This window comes from Homo sapiens, chromosome 12, assembly GCF_000001405.40.
Source record: "Homo sapiens chromosome 12, GRCh38.p14 Primary Assembly".
NCBI lineage: Eukaryota > Metazoa > Chordata > Mammalia > Primates > Hominidae > Homo > Homo sapiens.
Window position 1 is genome coordinate 125,957,637 of NC_000012.12, and position 27,378 is coordinate 125,985,014.

The 27,378-nt window shown below is 42.3% G+C and overlaps 2 long non-coding RNA genes across 2 annotated transcripts in view, besides 1 other annotated feature; one reads left to right on the plus strand and one right to left on the minus strand.

The window, feature by feature from the left end:
- Window positions 1–1,047: 1,047 nt before the first annotated feature.
- On the minus strand, window positions 1,048–25,738 carry LINC00939 (long intergenic non-protein coding RNA 939). Its single transcript, NR_034132.1, has 6 exons — window positions 25,568–25,738; window positions 12,175–12,360; window positions 8,564–9,706; window positions 5,375–5,447; window positions 4,106–4,345; window positions 1,048–1,316 (listed from the first exon to the last, which is right to left on the minus strand). It is a non-coding gene; the product is annotated as a long intergenic non-protein coding RNA 939 (long non-coding RNA).
- Window positions 25,618–26,305: an enhancer, noted in NCBI's record as "H3K27ac-H3K4me1 hESC enhancer chr12:126467800-126468487 (GRCh37/hg19 assembly coordinates)". NCBI's record gives its function as "activates a minimal SCP1, AML or CMV promoter by ChIP-STARR-seq in primed H9 embryonic stem cells {active_cell/tissue: H9 hESC(primed)}" and the evidence as "EXISTENCE:reporter gene assay evidence [ECO:0000049][PMID:30033119]".
- LINC02826 (long intergenic non-protein coding RNA 2826) overlaps window positions 25,887–27,378 on the plus strand; it is a 59,958-nt gene continuing 58,466 nt past the window's right edge. Inside the window, exon 1 of the long non-coding RNA NR_183612.1 lies at window positions 25,887–26,104. This is a non-coding gene — a long non-coding RNA (long intergenic non-protein coding RNA 2826). The remainder of the gene's footprint in view (window positions 26,105–27,378) is intronic.

Here is a 27,378-nt window from a genome sequence, read left to right on the forward strand (position 1 = left end):
ATTGTTCCTCTCTTTGTGTTCATGTGTTCTCATTGTTCAGCTCCCACTTATAAGTGAGAACATGTAGTGTTTGGTTTTCTGTTCCCGTGTTGGTTTGCTGAGGATAATGGCTTCCAGCTCCATCCATGTCCCTGCAAAGGACATGATCTCGTTCATTTTCGTGGCTGCATAGTATTCCATGGTGTATATGTACCACATTTTATTTATCCAGTTTATCATTGATGGGGATTTGAATTGATTCCATGTCTTTGCTATTGTGAATATTGCTGCAATGAACATATGCTTGCATGTATCTTTATAACAGAATGATTTATATTCCTTTGGGTATATACCCAGTAATGGGATTGCTGGGTCAAATAGTGTTTCTGGTTCTAGGTCTTTGGGGAATTGCCATACTGTCTTCCATAGTGGTTGAACTAATTTACATTCCCACCAACAGTGTAAAAGCGTTCCTATTTCTCCACAGACTTGCCAGCATCCAACTGCCTTTATGGTCATTCATCCTTGCAGGTAGGGGAGGGATGTGTATTGAGGGGAGGGCAGGATGATGACAGACATTTGCCCATATTCCCCTGTTAGGCAGGGTTAATATCTGTATGTTGGGGTCACAAGTGGCTTCTGTTGGCAGACTTCTGCTCTCGGTGCTTGTCCAGATAAAAGACAGCTCAGTTTGCCATATGAGCGGACCCACAGTTCGAGTTTTTGTGTGAAGTATCAGGAAGACAATTTTTACCTCAGATCCAATCATGTTTCTTCAATTCTGCAGAGGCAGCAATAAAGGTATTGCTTTTGAGACAAATTTAACTTTGTTTTTACTGTCCGTTGGTTCCAGTCTTAAATAGGGTGCAGTTGGGTTGGTCTCCACTCTCAGAAAATCCAGTTATGAACAGTAGGTTTGCATTAGGTAGGGGGCTAAAGTACTTGTGAGATTATTCCTATGGTGTATGCCTTCACTGAGGGGTTTTGGGTCCTGCTAGGGGGCAGAAACTGGGTCTTATTTTTGTATTCAGAACATGTAACACGTAAAGAGCTGGGTTCAAACTTTTGTTTTTTAGGAAACATACTAGATCAGAATAGGTTTATTTGCAAGACACCACAAATAGCAATTGCTTATATGACAATGCAAGGTAACTTCACCCTAACATAAAAGCCCTAATGTGGGCAGTCAGGGCTGCAAGGAGATCTGTCTTACAGGGTCTTCAGAAACCCAGGCCCCTTCCAATGTGATTCTCTCCCATGCACTGTCTCCATTCCCGAGGTCACCTCAAGGTCCACGGTGGCCGTATCAGATCCAGCCATGATGACAGCATGACAGTCTATGGGAAGAGAGAATGAACCCCATAAAGTGACTATAAGGTGTGGCATGTTTCATCTATGTCTGGAAGTTATCACTGACTATATTTCCCTTTGGATAGACGTGGACACCTGAGAGTCTGGGAAGTGTTATTATTGGCAGTCACATGCCAGGCTAAAAAAGGGAAATTTTATTACTATGGGAGAACATATGCTTTTTGTCCCAGAAGATTCAGTTGCCTGTGGAAGATGAAGAATGTAAAATTCCCTGTAACTATAATTGTAGGGCCAGATAAGTTGATCTACAGGGAATGTGTATGGGGAGTGATGGAATGATGTCACAAGTAACTGTGGTTGGAAACCACCTGTTAGGTCAGACATGAAAAGGTCACTGGCCTGGGATGTTTCAGTGGCAGGAGTGTTAACAGCCCTGAACTTCATTTCCATTCTCTCAAATAATGGGTGATGATATCTAGAAGTGGGAATATAACATATTATCTGTTTAATCTACAGGGCTGTTATAAAAATCAAGTGAGATAACATGCCAAGGTAAAAGGGTGCCTTTTTAAATTTTACTTGTTGTACTGGGTTGAATAGTGTCCTTCCAAAATTTATATTCACCTGAAACCCCAGAATGTGACCTTATTTGGCAATAAGGCCTTTGTAGACGTAATTAGTGCAGTAGAGTTCATGATGGATTATGGTAGGAACTAAATCCCATAACTGATATCCTTATACAAAGACCATGTGAGAACACACACATAGGGAAGAAGGCTATGTGGGATGGAGGCAGCAATTGGAGTGATGTGGCCACAAGCCGAGGAACACCTGTGGCCAGCAGAAGCTGGAAGAGGGGAGGAAGTATTCTTCCCTAGAGCCTCAAAAAGGAGCACAGCCCTGTTGACTCCTGGATTTCGGACTTCCGTCTTTTAGAACAGTGAGAATAAATTCCTGGTGTTTTAAGCCACGCAGTTTGTAGTATTTTGTTATGGCAACCACAGGAGGCTAACACATCTGCCACAGTAACAGTCCATGCTCCATGGCTCTTTTGTAAGGATTAAACGAACATCTAAGTGGTGAACATGGTGCCTGACACAGAGTCAGCACTTCTGGAACATCTTTAAGGGAGCTGTGTAGAATGCTCCATCTATGGATTAAACCAAGCTTGTCCAACCCATAGCCCATGGCTGCACGCAGCCCAGGATAGCCCAATACAAATTCGTAAACTTTCTTGAAACATTGTAAGATTTATTTGTGATTTTTCTTTAGCTTCTCAGCTATCATTAGTGTTAGTGTATTTTATGTGTGGCCCAAGACAATTCTTCTTCCAGTGTGGCCTAGGAAGCCACAAGATTAGACATCCCTGGATTAAAACTTCCATTGTGAAAATACAATACTGGGAGATAGGTGCTGTATTAGTCCATTTTCATGCTGCTATAAAGAAATACCCGAGACTGGATAATTTATAAAGGAAAGAGGTTTAATTAACTCACAGTTTGGCATGGCTGGGGAGGCCTCAGGAAACTTACAATCATGGTGGAAGGGGAAGCAAACATGTCCTTCTTCACAAGGCAGCAGGAGACAGAAGTGCAAAATGAAGGGGGAAGAGCCCCTTATAAAACCATCAGATCTCATGAGAACTCACTCACTTTCACGAGAATAGCACAGGGGGAACCACCACCATGATCCAATCACTTCCCATGAGGTCCCTCCCCCAACATGTGGGGATTACAATTTGGATTACAATTTAAGATGAGATGTGGGTGGGGACACAGAGCCAGACCATATCAGGTGTTGTCCCAGAGAAAGAGAGAATATGTTTGCTCGGTGGTGTCAGCTATAAGCAAACAAGTCTGATTCAGTCATTTACATCAAGTCATTCAGTGTGTGAGCAAAGATGCTAAGACCACTGGATGGGTGACTTCAAATTCCCCTGGCTCAGTGTCTTGATATAAACTGTAAATTAAAAATAGAGTATCTTGGCCGGGCATGGTGGCTTATACCTGTAATCCCAGCACTTTGGGAGGATCCCTTGAGCCCAGGAAATTGAGGCTGCAGTGAGCTATGATTGTGCCACTGCATTCCAGACTGAGCAACAGGCAAGACCCTGTCTCTAAAATAAAATGAAGTAAAATAGGAAATATTGTTTTGTAAGTTTCAGATGCTCACTGTTATGGGTAGAAGGTGGAAATTCCTGATGACTTAATCTAAGCACCTAAATCCAACCACTTCTGAATCTCCTAAGTAGGCATTCAAATCAGCAAATCCCCTTCGTAACTTCAAAATAGTCATTGTCTTTCTCTTCGCACTAAAATTTAAGATCTATGTGGGGAAAGGTTTTGTCTTTGTTATCAAGATATCCCCAGCATTTACAGAAAATGCCTACTACATGGTAGACACTCTAATAATATTAAATGAATGAATAGCAAGTATAAGAAGCCCAATTCCATCTGGCTTTAATGAGGAAATGTTGAAGAATGTGAGTGCACTTACATACTTTCGAGTAGATATACCATCAGGGGCAACTGTAAGAGGCACTGGAAGATGTAACTACTGATACCTGATGCATAACTGCTTAATATGTCAGATGGTGTAGCATTAATTCCAGATAAATAGAGCTGAAATAAACTACCTCACTATAGTCACTTGTGGTCTATCTGCATACATGCTTTGTGATTTTATTTGTTCAGTAAGAAGCTTAGCTAACTGTATATTCCTGAACTGGCATGTTCCTTTGGGTTTTGATTTCTTGTTTCCCCTACATAAGCCAATTTGAGTTGGGTTAAGTATAAAAAGAGAAGTTTTGACTTACCTTAATAAAGTTCTGTACATTCACGAACCCAAGGAAATTGATAAATCCATTTTGACTTTAATTTAGCTTTTCTTCAAAAAGCAAAATGTTGGCATTTCTTTGGCTCCCTTCATTCTTCAGATGTCTTTTCTTTCTTGCCTTTCTCCAGTGTCCTATCTAATGATATGGTTTGACTTTGTCCCCACTCAAATCTCATCTTGAATTGTAGCACCCACAATTCTCATGTGTTGTAGGAGGGATCTGGTGGGAGATAATTGAATCATGGGGGCAGTTTCCCCCATATTGTTCTCATTGTAATGAATAAGTCTCACAAGAGCTGATGGTTTTATAAGCAGAAACCTTTTCACTTGGTTCTCATTTCCTCTCTTGCTGCCACCCTGTAAGCCGTGCCTTTCACCTTCTGCCATGATTGTGAGGCCTCCCTAGCCATGTGGAACTGTGAGTCCATTAAACCTCCTTTTCCTTTATAAATTACCCAGTCTCAGGTATGTCTTTATCAGCAGCCTGAAAACAGACTGACATATCTAACAATCATCACCACCTGACAACACCCACTCTAGAATTTCACTGCAGTATGTGATGCATTCTAATGCGGCTGTCACAGTTGGGGTCCCTCAAAGCAGAGCCTGAGACAAGGACTGCAGTGCAGGTAGTTAATTTGGATGAAGGATAGACCAGTGTATTAGTCCATTCTCATACTGCTATAAAGATACGACCTGAGACTGAGTAATTTATAAAGGAAAGAGGTTTAATTGACTCACAGTTGTGCATGGCTGAGGGGAGGCCTCAGGAAACTTACAATCATGGTAGAAGGTGAAGGGGAAGCAAGGACCTTCTTCACATGGCAGAAAGAGAGAGAAGAGTGAGCAAGAATAGGGAAAACTGCCTTATAAAACCATCAGATCTCATGAGAACTCACTCACTATCATGAGAACAGCATGGCGGGAACCACCCCCCAATCCAATCACCTCACACCAGGTCCCTCCCTTGAGACTTGGGGATTACACTTCTAGATAAGATTTGAGTGGGGACACAACCAAACCATATCAACCAGAAACGGAGTAGGCTGATGAAGCAAGTCTAGAAAGTGTAGGCAAACAATAAAAAGTGTGGGTGGATCACCTGAGGTCAGGAGTTCGAGACCAGCCTGGCCAACATGGTGAAACCCCATCTCTACTAAAAATAAATTTTAAAAAAATTAGCTGGGCATGGTGACAGGTGCCCATATCCCAGCTACTTGAGAGACTGAGGCAGGAGAATCGCTTGAACCTGGGAGGCGGAGGTTGCGATGGCCAGGATCGCGCCACTGTACTCCAGTCTGGGTGGCAGAGGGGAACTCCATCTTAAATAAAAAAAAAGTGCAGTATCAATGTCAGCCATTACCACGGGCAATGGTGCTTAAAACTACCGTGGAAACTCGGAGGATAGCAAGGAGCCCAAACCTCACCTGGAGCCCTTTGATGAGGGCCAAGGGGACCGGAAGTTGTGAAAACTAACTTTCATCATTCATTGATGGAAGATTCTTTCCCTTGACATTAAATCCCCAACACTCCCAGCCACACAGGTAAGACTGAGCACATTTGAGTGGCAAGCTTTCAGATAAGGACATGCACGTGCTGATCGTGGTAAGTGAGCCCAGCAAGCATTGATATAAGGGCTGGTGAATGAATGGATGTGGCATTGACAATGACTGGGTACAGGAGGTTCTATTGAGGCTCCTTATATTTATGTCAAATGTATTTTTGTTCTTTCTAATAGTGGCTGCTTTTAATCCTGAAAACTGTTTAAACCTGCTTTAAAGATTTTTAAATAATACATCTGTTTGTGTGAGTTTTTTAAAAAATCAATTCTAATTTAATGCTTGAGTTCATGCATACACTACTTGAGGCGACACTTGGGTTGAGGTTCATGTTCTAGGAAAGCACTTTTGTTGATCATGAATGCAGACGATGTGAATGCATCACTGGTCTATCAGTGGGTGCGAAAATTTTAAAAAAATGCCTGTCTGCCTTGTTTCTCATATTTTGTTTGTGCACTTTTCTTCCCTTTGCATGAAGTATCTGGTCCAACTCCCTCCTCCAACACTTGTCTATTTCAAGATTCAGTTAAAGTGTCACATGTTTTATTAAGTCTTTTCTGATTCTTTCCACCATCCCATAGACAGATATTGCTTCTGTTATGCATGTGTCCTTTTCTTCCTTCTAGCTCTCCTCCCCACTGTCCCTCAACACAGCCCCCAGAGAAATCCACCTAAACTATCATATCATGTCAGTCTCTAATTAAACCTATCAGTGGCTCCCTGCTTCCATAAGCCCAATTAATTTAGTCCTCAACACAGACACATACACACACACACATGAACATGCACACAGGTGCATGGCCACACATATACACATGCAGTACACACAAGCACGCACACACGTGAACACACATATGTCTAGACACAGACACATCCCCTTACACTTTCTTATCACTCTTCCTCCTCATAGAACACATCCCTCCTTTTCACCCTCTACTTCACTGTGTATGCATTTTCATAAGAACCCGTCACTCTTTACTGTTATTTATCTATAAATATGACCCCCCCACAAAAAAAACCTGAAATATTTGCACAAGTCTGTCTGATCCAGCTCTGTGGCTCCAGTACCAAGCTCAATGCCTGCAAACATGGTGAGCATGAAATAAGTTCTGTGATGGAAACAGTGAAAAAATCAAATGAGGGAAATCTGTCCCAGATTAACTCTATTCATGTTCATGAACCTGCTCCAAATGCAGCATCAATCAAGAGCTTAAATAAAATAAAGTCAGATGGAAACATATAGATCCTTAGAAACTTAGGGAATTACTTTAAAAGTTATTAATTAATTTTCACCTCTCTGTGCAGTTAAATTTGTTTCCACATAAAAGTCAAAAGAAGACATTTATGTGGCCAACAAACATATGAAAAAAAGCTTATCATCACTGGTCATTAGAGAAATGAAAATCAAAACCACAATGAGATACCATCTCACGCCAGGTGGAATGGCAATCATTAAAACATTTGGAAACAACAGATGCTGGAGAGGATGTGGAGAAATAGGAATGCTTTTACCCTGTTGGTGGGAGTATAAATTAGTTCAACCATTGTGGAAGACAGTGTGGCAATTCCTCAAGGATCTAGAACCAGAAATACCATTTGACCCATCAGTCCCATTACTGGGCATATACCCAAAGGATTATAAATCATTCTACTACAAAGACACATGCACACATATGTTTATTGCAGCACTATTTACAATAGCAAAGACTTGGAAACAACCCAAATGTCCATCAATGACAGACTGGATTAAGAAAATGTGGCACATATAACACCGTGGAATACTATGCAGCCATAAAAAAGAATGAGCTCATGTCCTTTTCAGGGACATGGATGAAGCTGGAAAACATCATTCTCAGCAAACTAACACAGGAACAGAAAACTAAACACCACATATTCTCACTCATAAATGGGAGTTGAACAATGAGAACACATGGACACAGGGAGGGGAATATGACTCACTGGGGGCTATCAGGGGGTGGGGGGAAAGGCGAGGGAGAGCATTAGGGCGAATACCTAATGCATGCAGGGCTTAAAACCTGTATGATGGGTTGATAGGTGCAGCAAACCACCATGGCAGATGTATACCTATGTAAACAAGCCTGCATGCTCAGCACATGTATCCCAGAAGTGAAAGTAAAATAATTAAAAAAAGTATAGCAGGGAAGAAGTCCATGATATAAAATAATCATCCTCTCACTCCACTCTTAGGGAAAACAGAAGCATAAAAAATGTCACTGTGTGAAGATGGAGCTCCACACCTGTCCTGCATGTTCCACGAGTGTTATTGCATGGATGCCACCTAAGATCCATTGAAGTCTACAGATAGTTTTTTAAATGAAAACCTTAAGCTCTATTACACCTATTCTTGTCTCTACAATATCAGTTACGTAGGGCTATTTCATTACTAGCTTATGAGAAAATAAAACATAACTTTCCTTTTTATGAGAATGTCCAACAAATATCAAAATAGAAAATGAAGAGATAGTAAATGAAGCCCCAGGTACACATCCTGTGTTTCAGCAATTATCAGCATTTTGCTTACCTGTTTCTTTGCACTTACTCCATCGGGAATATTTTTTAAACGTTCCAGATATCAAAGCATTTCATTAGTTAATACTATATGATGTATCTATAAAGGAAATAACACTGTTTTTTTTTTAAAAAAAAAACAAAATCAGAACATCATTATGTCTAGTAAAATTAATAATGATCTCTTACTATCTTCTGACAACCATTCAGTGTTCAAATTCCCTTATTGTTTCAAAACTGCTCATTGACCCCTTGATATGTTTGAAGCACGTTCAGAGAGGATGCACATAGTGTATTTAGTTTATACTTTCTTAAATCTTTTAAAATCTATAACAGCATCCCATTCTTACCTCCGTTTCCTTGTGCCATTTGTTTGGGGAAGAAACTAAACCATTTATCTGGTAGAAATTTGCATATGCTGGATTTGGCTGATTGAATCATAGTGGTGTCATTTCATTTTTTTCCCATCACGTATTTCCGGTAAGCTAGGAGTCAAAACTAGAGATTTGACTGGATTTGGTTTATTTTTTGGAAGGATTTCTTTATGCATAATGTTTTGTATTGCTTTCTCTCAGGGGACACCAGTTTTTCGTTGTTTTCTTTAAGTGATGTTCCAAATGATTAGTGCAGAGAAAAGTTCTTTTGATTCCAAATTTAGAGCTCAGAATTCAGTTCAATTTTTGGAAGGGTAAACTCATAGATAGTACTTTTTATTACATCACATACTTTGGGTTGCTTTTCATAAATTATGGCCAGAATGATGATTGCAGAGACAAGATCCTTGGAGTCTGCCTTTAGTGCTCAGGGATATATTATTCGCCATATGTAGCAAAAGGCTGTGAAATTCAGAGTTAGGCAGACTTGAGCTTAAACCTTGGATTCACTTCTGACTAAGTGTCCCTGGACAAGACACTTGACTTTTCTGAGCCTTGAGTTGAATCATTGACCAGAGGTAGTAACACTCGCTGTACAAGGTCTTTGTGAACATTCAATAACACATGGAAATTCGATTCAGTTCTTGGTGCAGACCACAAGTGCTGCCAATGTTCCTCCCGTTCACTGAGGAAAAACCCAGAAAGACACTGCAGAGAGCTGGACTAGGGCAGACCATCCCCGGAGACTCGGAAAAGCATTTATTTCCGTAATTAGACCATGAAGACAAAGATAACCACAACTCAATAAAAACAACTTTTTCCACAATTCTATAGAGGACAGTTCATGCACTTCATTCTTTGTAGAATGAAAAACGGAGGCCCAGGCTGATCGTTCTACCTGTCAGGAAACATGGTACGTGGAAAAGTAATTAAACCACGATGACGGAGCTGTATCGATTGTGTAACTTACCCCATTTCCCGTTTGCCTCAAGAATGCCTGCCAGGCCGGGAGCGGTGGCTCACGCCTGTAATCCCAGCACTTTGGGAAGCCAAGGCGGGCGGATCACGAGGTCAGGATATCAAGACCATCCTGGCTAACACGGTGAAACCCCGTCTCTACTAAAAAAAAAAAAAAAAAAAAGAATGATTGCCGGTGGTGCTTGCGGCTGCAGCCTTTACCCCGAGATAAGTGCCACAAAATATCTGGCTTTTATTATTTTCGCATTGCTCTGGTATATCAACTTTGGGGAAAAAAGACATCATTTATTCATAGCATTCCGTTTTTAGTAGTGGTATTTCCATTTACAAAATATAGTAATTCTTGATCACGGAAAATATCAAAACCCAGAAAATGTAGCAATTCTACACGTGATGTTAACATCACTCTGGAACAGTTGTTGGCCGAATATTATTTGATGAATCCGAGTTTTCTGAAATAGACGATTCTGATTATTCAGACGATTCTGATGTTAGTTCTGTTTAGAAATAGCTTCAATAACAGTTTTTATATTCTATTTTCACATTGAAAATCAGTCAGATTGGCTTCAGCCTCAAAGAATGTGTTTATGTAAAATTAAATGAGTGCTGGCAGTGAGCTGTACTTTTCTTTTTTTTCTAAATGGGAAAAGGGTTAAATTACCTCTCCAATAAAAAAAATTATACTAAATATCTTGGTGATTTATATAGCTCTAATTCTCTCTATCTCTGTCTCTTTGACTTTTTTTCTCTCTCTCTTTACCTAAATTATATATTCTGCTGCTATTCTGGCTTGCCGCAGGTGGTTGGGAATATGTGGCTGGCTGTGGAATCTTGAGCTGTTCATTCGGTCTCACGAAGGAAGAGGATCTCACCTTCTATTTGGCTTATTTATAAGCATCTAGGGTCTCCTTCCCTGGGGTACACATTATTCTTTATTAGGCTAGAAAGATAAATACTAGGATCATTGAGATTGTGGGACCCCATTTGTTCATATTTCCTAGAAGTGTTGCGTTCACTAATCTGGCTTCACCTTGCAAGGGAAATTTCCTTTACTTAGCCAGTACTGACAGGGCCATTGCACTTGGACATTTTAAAAAGAGGAAGAGCGGTTGGGGAACTCCAATCCTGACTTCTTCAAAATACACCCTTAGAGACATCACACACATGCATCCTTCCTGTTGATTCCTACACCTGGTCCCTGTCAGAGGCTAAATCCTCAGAGGCTAAAAAATTATGGGCTCTTCATCAGTAAATATGGAGGAGGGGGTGGGTTCTGTCACCAAAACCCTTGAAAACCTAATCAACTAAGTTAATTTCATTTCACTTGGAATCTACTGATAAGCAGTGCAAAAAAATTATTTTGGGCTTTGCTCTGTGAATTCTTGGGTTTGCTGTGACGTCACTAATTCTGAGATCTGCCACCTGCCCAGCTCTCCAATTAATCCTGGGTCCTCAGAGCACAGATTGGAAATAACAGGCAGAGAGGATCTTTAATCTGGTTTAGAAAACTCTCCCTGATATCTAAACTATGTCCTAGTTAAATGAGCTTGAAAATGAGAAGAAACACCTCACTGATGTGGCTGGGGGCACGGAGTGAGGTATAGGGGTAATCTCAGAGAGTTGGGGCTCCTCCCAGATGTCCTCATCCCATCTGTCCAGATCTTATATTTTCCTCACAGGCACACCAGCCTTAGAAATTGTTGAAATAGGGTAAAGAATGGTGGTAGAGAATGAAGCTGCCACATTCTGCCTTGTGCATGGTTACAGGAGATGCTACACCTTTTCATGTACGGTTCTACTTGGCTCCTCTTCCCAAGTTACCAGTTCACACTCATGCACCACCTGCTCTCAGATGACAATAGTGGGCCATGTCTGTGTCTGTACTTTGTAGTTGTTAAAGTTACAAGAGAGACCTGGAATGCTAATACCTTGATAATTAGATATCACGTTCCTCAAAGTTTAACCACTGAGGGCTCGTGACTTTAGTTCTATAAGGGAGTGAATTAAGACTCTCAAATTCTCATCCCAACATGGGATTTCCTCTTTGTACCACTATACACAGCTCCTTCCTTCCTTCTTTCCTTCCCTCCTTCCTTCCTTTCCTCCTTTCTTTCTCTTTCTTTTTTCTTTCTTTCTCTTTCTTTTTTCTTCTTTCTTCTTTCTTTTTCTTTCTCTTTCTTTCTTTTGTCCTTTCTTTCTCTCTCTCTTTCCTTCCTTCCTTCCTTCCTATCTTTCTTTCTTTCTTCTTTCCTATTTTTTCTTTCTTTCTTTCTTATTTTTGTTTTTAACTTTTGCTAGAAGTCTGTCATTTGCATTTTTCCCTTCCATCAAGGTACTTATTATTTAGGGGTTTCGGTAGTAGTAACCATTATTTCAATTCTAACCACAAAAAAAGGAATATATTAAAAGGATATGGAGAAACTGCTGTGCGGAGTGTGACAGAGAAGATTACTTTCACTAAAACACCCTGGACATTGTAAATTAAGCAAAGAAGAAAGACTCAGAAATGTGGAGAGAAGAAGGCAGACCAGCTAGGGATGGAGAGATCTAAGAACGGCACGCGATAGTTTCCTGGGTTTCTCTTTGCCTTACATATTCTATGTTCTCACCAATGGAATGTGAGCTGATGTGACACATGCCAGCTTTTAGCCACGGCTTTCAGAAAGTCTTTGCCTTCTCCATCTCTTCTCCTTCCCTGTGTATGGCAATGTGCAGGCGACGATGAGATCCAAAGTGATTGGAGCCATAAGATGCAGGGAGCCTGGGCTGTAGATTTACTGCCTGGAGGAAGCCACCTGCCAACCAGGAGCATTTGCCTTGGTTACATGGACGAGAAACAAACTTCTGTTTGTTTCAGACACTGAAATTTGGAGATATACTTATTCTTGCAATCCAGCATTACTTTAAGAATACAAAAATAATAGTGAGGGATGGTTGATTTGCTACATATCATAACATATATTTCTATAAATTTATAGCAATTAAAACAGTATCATGCCAATATTGATCTTGATAGACTGGTCAATATCACAGAATTCAGCAGATCCACATACTCATAAATTTAGCACACAATTAAGACAATATTCAAATCAGTGGGAAATGTGGTATGAATAGACCGATGACAGTTCAATAAATGATGCTTTGCTACTTCAGGAAAAAAATTTAGGTTTCTACCCCATGCGTTAGAAAAATAAACTCCTGATGAAATGCAGAGCTAAGTACAATGCGACTGCAAAAATATTTTTAAGAATTATATCAGACTATATATTAGATACGAGGAAGAATATTCCTACTTAGTAATTAATGAGGTATAAAAGTTATTACTAAATATTTTCATAAACTTGAATATTAAAAATTAAAATGAATCAATAAAGTTAAAATAATGGTGATAAATTAGGAATTATATCTATAGTATATATACCAGATATGATTAAAATTCACATATCTAAAGAACTAATATATTTCAGAAATAACAATATAGACAACTCAAAGAAAAATGGTCAGAGCATTTGAACATAAGAAGAGAAATGAAAATGTTAAAGAAACATACAAACTCTTCTCGCTCACAGAAGTCCTTAGAGAAACTCATTTAAAAAAATTGAAATATGTGGAACAAGATTAGCAAAACAATAAATTTAGTAATATTGAGGTTTGGAGTAGTCATATTGTTGAAAGACTGATTCTATTGTATAATTTTGTTCAATATATTTAGTTCTTCTTTAATAGATCTTCTGTGTGAGTCCTTTGCCCACATATTGATAATTGCTAGACAAGTATGAAGGTAAATTTGATTTTTAAAAGTTTACAAAAACAATGTTTGCGTGATTACAAGTTTCCTGGGAGATCTCACACAGCAATGATGTTTGTTAAACAGTAATTAAACACTATATCATCTATCTGAAATACTACCTTTTAAAAATAATTTTGAAAGTAAAAATATGAAACAAAGTAAATTATCATTTGCATATAGCAAAAAACATACAATTCTAGCTCTATTCCCTGACTCAGAGGTTCATGTATTACTCCTTTTATAAAAAGTATACACAGATTATAAAGAAAACACAAATAACTTAGAAGATAAACTATAAGAACAGCTGCCGCAATAAAAGTCTTGAAATTCTGAAATGCCAAAGGCTAAAGTTTATTACACAATTCATGATTGATTTAGCTGGTGCGAGTTACTGAATACTCCAAGATTTCATTTCAAGGCTCAAGTATTTGCCCAGCCACCTGGGACAGAGTATATAGAAAAGTTTGTAGAAGTTAAAAAACAGAAAGAGTTCAGAGTTTTTGTCACTCACACTGCCTCCATCTGTGTCTTTCCTGCCTGTCTTTTGTTCACCTCTCCTATTTTTTAAGGATATGTTTACATGGTGTCTCCTGCTTCCCACCAAGCCACTGGAATAGCAGATTCAGGCTGAGAACCTCCAGCAGGAAGGGACTTCTCAATGTAACTGCCCCCAGAGAGGCTGCTACAGTTTCCTCTGAACCAGTGCCGTACTCCACCTGGAGAGACCAGGGAGGCTTTGTTGTCTCAACTGCAGGCTTCATAGGAACTCAGGCATGTTGCACTTACAGTAGGGTTTTCGTGCCTTTCCTCCATTCTTTTTTTGGAAGGGTGATCGAACTGATGAGTGGTGAAGGATAAGGGGAACATCAGCTCATCTGTGAATTATTTTTATTGATCACATTAAAATTGGTTCAGATCTTTGGCCAATACTGTTTGTTCTTTCTCCTAATATTATAAATTGTAATAAATGTTGTGTACAAATCTTTTTGTTTCTTTGTGTTATTTCTAATTTTGGAACTTGCTTTTGCTGTATGTAGTATTATTAATGAGGTGGGCACAGTTTGAAGGCTCTAGACGCCCAGCTTCCCAGGTGGTTCCTTCCTTCCTTCCTTCCTTCCTTCCTTCCTTCCTTCCTTCCTTTCCTTTCCTTCTTCCTTCCTCCTTCCTTCCTTCCTCCTTCCTTCCTTTTTCCTTCCTCCTTCCTTCCTTTTTCCTTCCTTCTTCCTTCCTTCCTTCCTTCCTCCTTCCTTCCTTCCTTTTGTTTCTTCTTTCTCTCTCTCTTTCTTCTTTTTCTTTTTTTGAGACACAGTCTTGCTCTGTTGTCCAGGCTGCAGTGCAGTAGCATGATCTCCGTTCACTGCAACCTCCGCCTCCTGGGTTCAAGGACTCTCCTGCCTCAGCCTCCCTAGTAGCTGGGATTACAGGTTCCTGCCACCATGCCTGGCTAATTTTTGTATTTTTAGTAGAGACAGGGTTTCCCCATGTTGGCCAGGCTGGTCTTGAACTCCTGACCTCAGGTGATCTGGCAGCCTTGGCCTCTCAAAGCGCTGGTATTACAGGCATGAGCCACCACACGCACCCCCCAGGTGGTATGTGTCTAAGGGAGACTTTACTATGTAATCCACAAGGTTGGAAAGGTGCCAGGAAAATAGTCTGTTTTTTGGGTAGTGGGTGTGTCCAACACATAGTGAGGAGGGCTCTTCCTGGGCTCCCTCAGCTAGGAAGATCTGCTTTTAGGCATGTTTATGCAAAGGCTTGTACAGCTTCTAGGCTGGGATCTGTCTTCAAGGCAGTGTTTTAATAAGCTGCAAGTCATGATGCGTTTGTGGTATGAAATAAATGCTGAGACTAACATTAAAAGAAAAAAAATGTAGTGGGCATGGTGGCTGACACTTGTAATCCCAGCACTTTAGGAGGCCAAGAAAGGAGGATTTCTTGAGCCCAGGAGTTAGAGACCAGCCTGGGAAACACAGTGAGACCCTGTCTCTACAAAAACAAATTTGAAATATTAGCCAGGCATGGTGGTGCACCCCTGCAGTCCCAGCTACTTGGGAGGCTAAGGCAGAAGCATCACCTGAGCCCAGTAGATTGAGGTTGCAGTAAGCTATGATTGTGTTACTGTGCTCCAACATGGGTGACAAAGCAGAACCTTACCTCAAAAAAAAAAAAAAAAAGTAATGGGATAGGATGGAATAGAATAGCTCAGAGAATTAGAATACCTTACTACCTTATTACAGGTACTAAGATAAATTTAGATTTTTGAAATGTTACTTGAATTATTTGTGTGTACTTGTGTAACGTAAGATGAATTTCTTACTCTGAATTCTAGTCAAAAGCACGGTGGTTTACACCTGTAATCCCAGCACTTTGGGAGGCCGAGGTGGGTGGATCACAAAGTCAGGAGTTCGAGACAGTCCTGGCCAACATGGTGAAACCCCATCTCTACTAAAAATACAAAAATTAGCCAGGTGCGGTGGCCAGTGCCTATTTTGGGAGGCTGAGGCAGGAGAATTTCTTGAACCTGGGAGGCGGAGGTTGCAGTGAGCCAAGATAGCACCACTGCACTCCAGCCTGGGTGACAGAGCAAGACTCCATATCAAAAAAAAAAAAAAAAAAAAAAAGAAATTCACTTTTCTAGAGCTTATTCCATATATAGGCAATATTTATATTAAAAAAGAGAAAAGCCACTACTTGGGTAATGTTAATTTAGCATTAGTATAGACCCATGGGGCTTAAGGTTAATATAATAATAATAGCCAATATTCTAGGGTGACTCAGTTATTTCTCAGAATTTCTAATAGGCCTTACAGGTATACCAGAAACTTCTCTGAGGTCCCATGAGTTTGTGGGTCCCAGGACCAGCTTGTCCCTGGGTGCAGTGAGCCCATAGCTCACACCTCCCATGCTGCATGAGCTTAGACTTTTTCCCTTTCTTCCACCTCTCTGTGAATCACTAAAGTGAGTGCGTGTGTGATACCCAAGTCTGTGCATGGACCTCTATGACTCTCAGCACAGGTCCATTCGAAATACTTTGTTATATTTATAATAGATAAAATTAGAATCACCAAAAAGCCATAATAAATGTAAAATAATTGTTAAAATTGGTAAGACCTTATATCTAACAAAATATTATGCAGTTGTAGGGAGACCCCCTGAAACTATTGCTATGGAATGTTATGTAAAAGATGAAATGCTCCTGATTATTGTAAATACAAAATTGCATGCAGGATTGTGTAAAGACAATGCCAGGTTGGACGCCAGAATGAGCCAACAGCGCGTGATGTGCTTCCCCTTGCAGAGAGCCTATGAATGGACGTGCAGTCAGGGAGGTTTCACATCACCAAGATTCCTATCCCAGAAAAGCAGATGTTCATAGCTCTGGGAATGGAATGCGACCCTTGTGGGGAGCCTATAAACGGACGCATGGGGGGTGCCTGTCCATATGGATAAGATAGGGCTATAAACACCCTCATCTTGCCACGGCTCTTCTAGGCCTCTTCAGGGTTAAGGCATACTCCCTTCTGAGAATTTCTGGTCTAACCGGTTGTCTAGCTTCATGTCCTGTTTCCATGGATTGTTTGTAACCAGCTTTTGTTGCAATTGTTACTGCTGATTAATATCTTGCTAATCCTAGGTTATGGAAAGACTGTGTTTCTGTTCTAAGGCTCTGTTAGAAATTACTGACCCACACACTATAGTGTAAATTCTTATCTCTGTATACTGTACTTCTGCATACAAATGTTATGTTAAAGAATTACTTCATCCGCATGTGACCATCTCACCTCATAATCAAATGACCCTAAATCCCTCACTAACCTACCCCCACCCTCACTAACCTACCCCCACCCTCACTAAACTTAATAATAAATGCTGGTATATCCAGTGCATTGTTGGCACCGCGGGACCAGAAGGCGGTGATCCCCCGGGACCCAGCTTTCACTATCTTGTGTGTGTCTGTTATTTCTCAACCTGCCGATCCGCCTGGGAACAAAGAGAGAGCCCTGTTGCATTGCGGGCTGCTGGCCAGATCCTGCAATATGCAGTCACTAGATTTGTTTTTCTTTTTTTTTTTTTTTGGAGACGGAGTTTTGCTTTTGTCGCCCAGGCTGGAGTGCAGTGGCACGATCTTGGCTCACTGCAACCTCCGCCTCCCAGGTTCAAGCGATTCTCCTGTCTCAGCCTCCCAAGTAGCTGGGATTACAGGTGCCCGCCATCACACTAGGCTAATTTTTTTTTTTTTTGTATTTTTAGTAGAGACGGGGTTTCGCCATGTTGGGCAGGTTGGTCTCAAACTTCTGACCTCGTGATCTGCCTGCCTCAGTCTCCCAAAGTGCTGGGATTATGGGCGTGAGCCACCGTGCCCGGCCACCTAAAATTTTTAATTCACTAATTCACTCATTCGACAAATATTTCTTGAGCATGAAATATGTGTCCTCACCTTGGCTAGAAGGCCTATAGTGAGAAAGGCGTATATTCTAACTTCTGATGCTTCTGGTGCAGTGGAGAGGTCGACAATAAATGGGAGAACAGGTGAAATGAATATGACAGCCCTTATAGGGCTATACTGAAAATAATCAGAGAACAGGAAAGACAAGCCTATTGTTCTCAGGGTGCTCAGAGATGGGCCCACCTAGGAGGCAGTTAGTTCTTTAGTCTGAGACGTAAAGGATGAGAAAATTCAGCCAAGAATAGAGCAGTAAAAAAAGATATTTCAGGACAAGGGAATAACAAAAGAGCCCAGAGACTAGAGATAACTGGAAAGTTCCAGTAGTCAGTGTGGCTTGTGTGTGCCGACGGGGAAAGGCACAAAAGCGTGTGAAGTGGAGGCACAGCTTAGGCCATGCTAGACCTGCTGGGGAGAAAATGCTACAATGTTTAGCATCATAGAAAAAGGTCCTAACATGCTTTCTCTAGAGTTAATGCATTTAATCTTCACAACAACCTCATGAAGGAGGCACTGCTATTGTGCCCCGTTGCAGACAAGGAAATGGAGGTTCTCAGAGAGTAAGAAACATGCCTACACTAGCGACAACCCAGCACTACATGTGGTAGAATCAAAAGCGTGTTCACACAAAACTTGTACACAAATGTTTACAGCAGCATTATTCACGATAGCCAGAAAGTGCAAACAACCCATATGGCCTGGATAATCATCCACACAATGAGATATTATTTAGCCATAGAAAGGAATAAAATTCTGATGCATGCTAGAATATGAATGAACTTTGAAAACATCACACTAAGTGAAAAAAGCCAGACACAGAATGATATCGTATGATTCCACTTATATGTAAACTTCAGAATAACCGCATCCATACGGACAGAAAAGAGATTAGTGCTTGCAGGGTCTTGGGGGACTGCAGAAATGGACAGTGACTGCTACTGGGTACAGGGTTTCTTTTGGGAGTTATGAAAATGATCTGGAATTAGTGGTGATGGTTTTACAACTCTGTGCATATAACAAAAACCATCGAATTGTATACTTCAAGGGGGAGAGCTTTATGACACATGAATTATATCTCAATAAAGTCATTACTCAAAAATGAAAGAAACGTGTTCAAAGTCACAGAGGCAGTGACAGTTCTTGGATTTGGAGCTGGCAATCAGGCTGTGGTTTGTGCTCATTTTTACTGTGCTATGCACCGTCTGTTCCTTCTGATAACTGGAGAGAGGCATGATTTTTACCCAACGAAGAAAAATAATCCCCTGCTCTGCAGATTACAACTTCTGTGATGCATGGATGTTTTAAAAATTAATTTTAATCAGTGCAGTGGGTTGGAGATTCATGGAAGATAGTGTTTGTGCTGTCTTCATTGAACATTATCATTAATAAGCTGATTTTACATTTTTTTTACATGAACACAGGTGTGATAAATTCCTAGTTAGAAATTATATAAGGCTGGATTAAAGTGTCCACATATCAAAACTCTTATGTGTATGTTATCATATGCCTACATATAATGCATGCTTAGTGGCTGATGGTCTTGGAGACACATCCCATGTATTTGGCATAGAATGTTCAAATACATTTGGCAAAGAAGAGTGGCCCGTAGGTTGCACCTGTGTGAATAAGGGCCATTGAGTCAGAGGAACCTGAAACCGTTTCCCGGGTCTTTCACTGACAAGTCTTTGATGTTAGACAAATTAACTCTCCAGAGCCCCAGTTTCCTTATGGGTAAAACTGGTATATTAGTAGTATCTAGTTTATTCAACTGCTCAAAATGTAACGGCTTAAAATGATCATTTATTGTCTCCCTTGGTTCTGCGGGCTGTCTGGGCTCAGCCACCCAGATTCTTCTTTAGTCTGAGTCTTACGTGATTGCAGATATTTCTTTTCTTTTTCTTTTTTCTTTTTTTTTTTTTTTTGAGACAGAGTCTCACTCTGTCACCCAAGCTGGAGTGCAGTGGCGTGATTGTGTCTCACTGCAAGCTCAATTGCAGATATTTCTTAACTGATGGTGGCTAAGTCTGCCTTCATCTGAAGGCTGGGCTGGGTTGATGTCCACTGTGGCTCTTAGACATGGCAGTTGATGCTGACCCGTGCTCCTACAATGTTTTATTCCCTAGTTCTAGTTTATAAACGTTTGGGTTTGGGGCAAATTAACTTCTTGTAGCCTCAGTTTCTTCATTGGTAAATGAGTAGTAAAAGTTAATAAATAGAATAGTAAGAGCAGCCACCTTGCAGGGTTGTTGTAAATGTTAAACACAATGATCCATGGGTTGTACATGCCCGAACATCCTAAGCCCTTAATAAAGTTAGCTGTTGTTACTTTTGTTATGATGACAACAAGATAATACATTCAAAATACCTCTTGCTGTGCCTTACATGGAGAAGGTGTTTAACAGATTGTGGTTATGAGATAGAGCCTTTTGCATGTGTCATATGAGATTGTCATATGTGGCTTGGCAAAGACGGATCATAGGTACCAATGTCCTTGCTCCTTTGTTTTCATAAGGGAAAGTTAACAGAGAAGGTTTACTTAGCTGAGAAGTGACTATGTGCTGGAATTTTACTGAAGATGAAGTAATTCTGTTATTGTACCAAAATTCATCGTTCAAGATGAAAGGCATGGCAGATTTAGCCTTATGTGCACAATCCCTGACCTTGAGGTATCTTTCCTAAAAGCTGCAGGTGCTTTTTCTTCTGGAAACATTTAAGTGTGTCCCCTTTATATCAATAACAGGTGCGTTAATGGAGGTGGTCAGGGCAGGCAGGGGACAGGCTGGGTGACATGTGTTCTGGCCTTCTCAAATAGCTGTCACTCTATAAAAACACAGTGTAATTTGTTAAATGTCAAGTAGATTAATATGTCAGACCTGGGAACATTTGCCTTGTAGCATTGTAGCATTTAGATAATTGAATACTGTAATAGCTCAGCACCTTGCTTCAAGTTAAAATATCGGGATTTATATGATTCTTAGCCACAAAACCATTTTTCAACAGCTTAAATAATCTTCCTAATAACTAGAAGATGTTGTCTTGGCCCTTTCTCTGGCCAAGAATTTTTGAAGCAGACCAGCTCCTGGTAACAGATGTATTTAGCCAGAATAATATGCACATTATCAGGCAAACATGAATAGCTATTTAATGGAGCTTGAAATGACTTCAATCTGTAAAGCTCAGTGCGGGTCAGAAGCTTTACCTGGCTGGCCCTATCAGTGCTGAATCCTGCAGCCTGATTTTGGAGAAGTCTCAGGGGCTGGGACCTGAGACTAGGGAAGATCTCTCCACCCCATGTAGCATGTTCTTTAATTTTTCCTTTGCAATGCGGATTGCTGATATAATTAAACAAATTTGTGCAATCAATTTTTTTCAGAAATTGCTATCTAAATATAATATTAGTTTGAAAAGTGAATTTAGTGAAAGAAGCAGTCAGTTAGGGATGGTAGTGAACTGAAAGTCGTGTGGCCCAACTGAAAAGAATGGCTGGCGCTCACTTGCTCTTAGTTTAGTGTTGCTATAAAGGAATGCCTGAGGCTGGGTAGTTTATAAAGGATAAAAAGGTTTATTTGGCCCACAATTCTGATGACTGGAAGGTTAAAGCTTGGGCATTTGCATCTGGAAAGGGCCTCAGGCTGCTTCTATTCATGGGGGAAGTTGAAGGGGAGCTGGTGTGTGCAGAGACCACATGACAAGAGAGAGAAACTGAGGAAGGCAGACTCTCCCGGAAAGTAAGAGAGTGAGAACTCACTCACCACCACCCAGGGAGGACATTCATCTATTCATGAGAGATATGCCCTGTATTCGTCCATTTTCACACTGTTGATGAAGACATTCCCAAGACTGGGTAATTTATAAAGAAAAAGAGGTTTAATGGACTCACAGTTCCACGTGGCTGGGGAGGCCTCACAATCATGGTGGAAGGCAAAAGTCACATCTTACATGGTGGCAGACGAGAGAGAATGCGAGCCAAGTGAATGGGGTTCCCCTTTGTAAAACCATCAGATCTCGTGAGACTTATTCACTACCACAAGAACAGTATGGGCGAAACCACGCCCATGATTCAGTTATCTCCCACCAGGCCCCTCCCACAACATGTGGGAATTATGGGAGCTAGTATTCAAGATCAGATTTGGGTGGGGACACAGCCAAACCACATCATGCTCCCAGGACCTAAACACCAACAGGCTCCATCTCCAACCCTGGGGATCAAATTTCAACATGAGGTTGTTGGGGCCGGGGGGGGGGGGGTGGGGGGAACATCCAAACCACAGCACTTGCAGTCAGCTGTTTTCATGCAGTAATATAGGCCCAGTGTGAATTAATCTTTGTTTCAAAGGGAAGAAGGAAACACTATTTTTACATGCAATATTCTGATATTTAAATGTTGATGATGGATTCAATTTTAGGAGGTACTCACTGTTCTAGGGAAACATAGATTTGACTCTGTGCTGCCACTTTACAGAAGACAAATATCTGACCTAATATTTGTCTCTAACGTTGATATTCGGTTAAAATGGAAGAGACCCTTCCCTTGTAGCCCACTGTGTCTCCAGACACTAGCCCAATATACATGTATTAAACAAATGAATTTGACTAAACACCACCATGCAAATAGTTGGCATCCTTGGGTAAACAATGATATTTATTCTAGGGAAGAAATGTGAGAGATGTTATTTATTTCTAGTCATGAATTGCTTACATTTATTTCTAAGCTATTTCGGGTTTGTTTATGATTTCTTATTATGAAACAAAATGAGACACGTACGTATAGTTTGCAGGTGCAGAATCATTACAGGAAGGATAACTCAGCTTTCAAAAACCACACAAGAGGAGAATGCACCATTACAGAGTTCATTGTCAATCTTTGCAACTTCAAGGTTAGAAAAAAAAGGATTGACTTATTTTCTTTTCCATTAACTAAGACATTCACTAAGTAGCTTTTTAGAAAACCTTTAACTTTTGCCCCCAGGATGAGTGCAGCATGAATTGAAATCTGCACAAAAATAATGTTGGACAAACCACAAGAATGTCATTAATATCATTAGTCTCTAACCCTCTGTAAATGTCAGTGCTTTATCTCCATTAGACTTCATTTATCCTTTGGAAAATGAGATCAAAGGAAGTGTGAGGAAACACACAAAAGTCCAGAAACAGGGGTGTGAGAATTAATGCATTAATTATGAGTTCCTGAGAGGTTGTGCTGAAAGAAACACTGGGATTTGCTGTTCTCTCTCTCTCCTTGGCTACCCATCTTCTCTCTCTACTCCCTGCACAAACATGTCTGCACACCTATCAATGCAATGGTATTGCTGTTGCCTAGTGAGTTCCTATAAATGCATTTGTTTGTATCCTTGCGAATCTTGTTCCTGCAGAGACAGTGTGTGGCAGCCTGTTCATTCCAGCCCTTTCTATAAAATCTGCTGACACAATAGCCTTTTTCTACATATAACTGGATATTGTGGCATCTCCCCACTCTCTCATTCCTATCACCACACTGCTGTGGTTGAGCTCAGGCTTCTATTCCTGAACGTCGTCTCTGTGGATTTGATCCTATGTGGCTTGAAACTTAAGTGGGTGGTGGCCAACCACAGAGATTAAGCCAGGGAACTGGCTTTTCTCTCCCTCCAACCTTCAGGAAAACCCAGGTCCTGATGTTGCAGTCTCACCAATGCACCTTAACCTAGCAGTTCCTCATTGTCTGAACTAGTATCCTGGGTTCTGTGTCCTAAATCCAAGAAAATTAAGGAACTTGGACACAAACTTGGGGTTGGAGCAAAAATTTAATAAGTGAAAGAAGAAAACTCTCTGCAGTGGAGAGGGGAGTGCAAGTGGACTGCCAGTTTACAGCTGAATTCAAAAGCTTTTTTTTTTTTTTTTTTTTTGACATGGAGTCTTGCTCTGTCTCCCAGGCTAGAGTGCAGTGGCGTCATCTCGGCTCACTGCCACCTTCATCTCCCCGGTTCAAGCCAATCTCCTCCCTCAGCCTCCCGAGTAGTTGGGATTACAGGTACGTGCCACCACACCCGGCTAATTTTTGTATTTTTAGTAGAGACTGGGTTTCACGATGTTGGCCAGGCTGGTCTTGAACTCCTGACCTCAGGTGATCTGTCCGCCTTGGCCTCCCGAAGTGCTGGGATTACAGGCATGAGCCACTGCACCCAGCCTCAAAAGCTTTTTACAAGAAACTGCTCTCCTCCCTGTAATTATTTGGGTAACTTTTCTTATCAGTAAAGGTGTCTGTGCAACTCCCCTTCTCTTATGCGGCCGTGGGTATGTCTCTAGGCAAGCACAAAGTACAGCTTCTCTTGTTTGTATAACTGTGGGTTTGTTTTAGGTAAGCTCCCTCCCCCTTGTGCAAGTTCTCATCATGTATATGCCTGAAAAGGGGAGGAAATTTTTCCTGGGAGCTCACTAATTACAAAGAACAAAGAGATTCTGGGCTGGACATTGCTTGTTTATCTGTCCAGGTACAGCCTGAGTGTTTTCCCAGGTTGTTTTATTTCTGCCTGTTGCTGTGACTATTCAGGCCGACTGCTTCTGCAGTCTGACTTTTTCCCAAATGATTTTTCTTTTCCTTCTCCCTCACTGATATCTGACTGTGCAATGCTGGCTCTGTAGCCTTGGGCTGGCTTCCCTGAGCTCCCGTGTCCTCACCAACAGGGATCATCACATCCACCTTGTAACGTGGTTGGGGATGTAAAGACGACCTGGCAGGGTGCTTACATGTGCAATTGTTCAATAAACATTTGCCACTCGCCCATGTGTAAGGTAGGGGGAAAGGTGAGATACAGTTTTTTTCTAATTTTCTCATTTGAGAAACACCTTCATGATTTTTTGTCCTATATTTACCACCTCATCACACTGACTTGCTTTTTGTTTGTTTCCTTAAAAAACATATTTTAGGCCCAGTGCGGTGGCTCATGCCTGTAATCCCAGCACTTTGGGAGGCCGAGGCGGGTGGATCATGAGATCAGGAGATCGAGACCATCCTGGCCAACGTGGTGACACCCTGTCTCTACTAAAAATACACAAATCAGCCAGGCGTGATGGCGTGTGCCTGTAGTCCTGCTACTTAGGAGGCTGAGGCAGGAGAATCACTTGAACCCGGGAGGCGGAGGTTACAGTGAGCCGAGATCGGCCACCGCACTCCAACCTGGGCGACACAGGGAGACCCCATCTCAAAAAAAAAAAAAAAAGAAGATAAAAAGTAAAACGTATTTTAAAAGGAAGCTTGCTATCATTACTGAACATGGAAAATCACTCCGTTTCCAAATTTACAAAGTGTAGATGTGATTAAAAATAAAACAACGTGGTTAAATTTAAAATAGAAAAAATAATGCATACGTGTTTAGAGAAGTGCATACCTGAAAACAAGTTCTTCAAGGAAAATGGAACTATTGACAATCCCTGGGAGACACCAGGAGAGGCTCCTGGTGGGTCGGGGAGTTCCTGAACGCCCTGAGTGCGGGGTCTCCAGGTCTGAGACAGAACGGCCCTGCTCAGGTCAGAGGACAGCTGTGATGAGTGAGCGAGGTGGCCATCCTGCCTTGCCCTGGACCTTGTGTAATATTTTGCTGCGTTTGGAGGATAAGGACAAGTGGTAGTCTGATGTGGATTAGGGCATGGGTTTCCTGTGGCTCCCAGAAAAAGGGACACACAGAATTGCAGTCCCTGCCCAGCTGCACCCAACATCCAGGTCATCTGTCACCAGGCCCAGGGGACAGAGCAGGTCTGTGCAGGTCTCACCACCCCTTCCTGTTGACTCTACCTCCAAGAATCCTCTGGGAAGTGTGTTCTTTACCGTCCTCCAATCCTGGTCTCTCCTGGTGCCCTGGGGAGGAGGCTGTGAGAAGATCAAGGTAACTGGACAACTCTTTGCACACCCCCAGGGGCAGAGTGCCTGCCAGCAGGACTTCCCAAAGCAGTCGCCAGGCTCCACGAAGCGGCGCTGATACTTTGGGGGCTTCCGCCTAGTGCAGGGCGGGGCCCGTGGGCAGGACCCTCCCCCCCCCAGGCTCCTCCCAGAAAGAGCGCGAGGCGGAGGGGAGGGGCTGCACGTTCCTGGTGTTTGCCTATTAGCGGGAACCATCAGCGGACAAGACACCCCCGTTTCCTGGACTCCTAGGGGCAGAGCCCTGTGAGAGGAGGAGGCACCACCTCTTCACCTATTCGCTGGACTTTGCCTAGTTCGGGCCGGGCAGGTCCGGGCATCTCGGCCCCACAGGCTTCTAGGGAGGAGGAGGGGCACACTTCTTTGTGACGTTTACCAGAAATGGGCGTGGCCAACGGAGAGACCTCTCCCACAGTAAGAAGGGGAGGGGCCCCACGCCAGTGTGGCCTTTTTCTTAAAACTGGCCAGGGGTCCTCACTAGGCTCCCCGGGGGCAGGGCGCGGTAGGGGAAGGTACCCTCTCTGTGGGGCATTTGCTCTGCTGGGAGAGGCTAGTTGTCCTCCTGAGACCTCCAATTCACGGGCTGCAGGCGGCAGCTCCTGTAGGAGGGGCTTTGTGGGGAAACCCTCTCTTTGCAACTTTTGCTCAGGGCTGGGCAGGGCTGGCTGTCAGACTCTGCCCAGGCGGGTCCCCATCACTTTGCTGGCTTTCTCTTGGTGCCCCTGGGGCCAGGGGCCAGGGTTGGACCCCACAATCTCCTGGGCTACAGGAAGTGCTGTTTAGGAAAGGGTGGAGCCTGCCCCCTTTACTGGGGGGCTTAGTGTAGAGCTTGGTGGCTGGACAAGGTCCCACCCCTCAGCCCCCTTGGGATCAGTATCTGGTGGGGTGGCGGGGGGCGGGGCACCACCTCCTTCTATTCTTTGCCTAATTCTGGGAAAGGCTGGTTGACTGGGCCCAGCCCCCCACGCCCCTTGGTGGAGGACTCAGGTGGGGAGGGGCATCGGCCCAGCTGCTCCTGTGAGGAAGCGGCGCTCCTTAACTGTTAGAGGAGTGGTTACAGTTAAAAGAGATCAATCTGCAGCGCCTCCCTCCTCCCAGTCGGCTGTCTACCTAGAACAACATTTTCTTGGAGCTTTTTGTCTTTGTGCTCCTTGGTGGTCCTAGGTTGGAGGGCCAGGGTGTTTAGGATGCAAAAGTAAACAGCATCCTTCCTCTTCCCTGGAATTCTGAGGTCCCTAGCCGCTACACCTTCTAATCTCCACATTTCAGAGCCTTCTGTGGGTTGCTTTCTGTTTTATGTCCAGGAGTTTTTGTTCTTTTTTTTTTTTTTTTTTTTTGAGACGGAGTCTCGCCCTGTCCCCCAGGCTGGAGTGCAGTGACGCGATCACTGCAAGCTCCGCCTCCCGGGTTCCCGCCATTCTCCTGCCTCAGCCTCCCCGGTAGCTGGGACCACAGGCGCCCGCCGCCACGCCCGGCTATTTTTTTGTATATTTTAGTAGAGACGGGGTTTCACCGTGTTAGCCAGGATGGTCTCTATCTCCTGACCTCGTGATCCGCCCACCTCGGCCCCCCAAAGTGCTGGGATTACAGGCGTGAGCCACCGCGACCGGCCGGAATTTTTTTCTTATTAGTGGGAGAAGAGGAGGAGAGTGAGCTTTTATTTTCTTCACCTTAACTGGAAGCCTGGT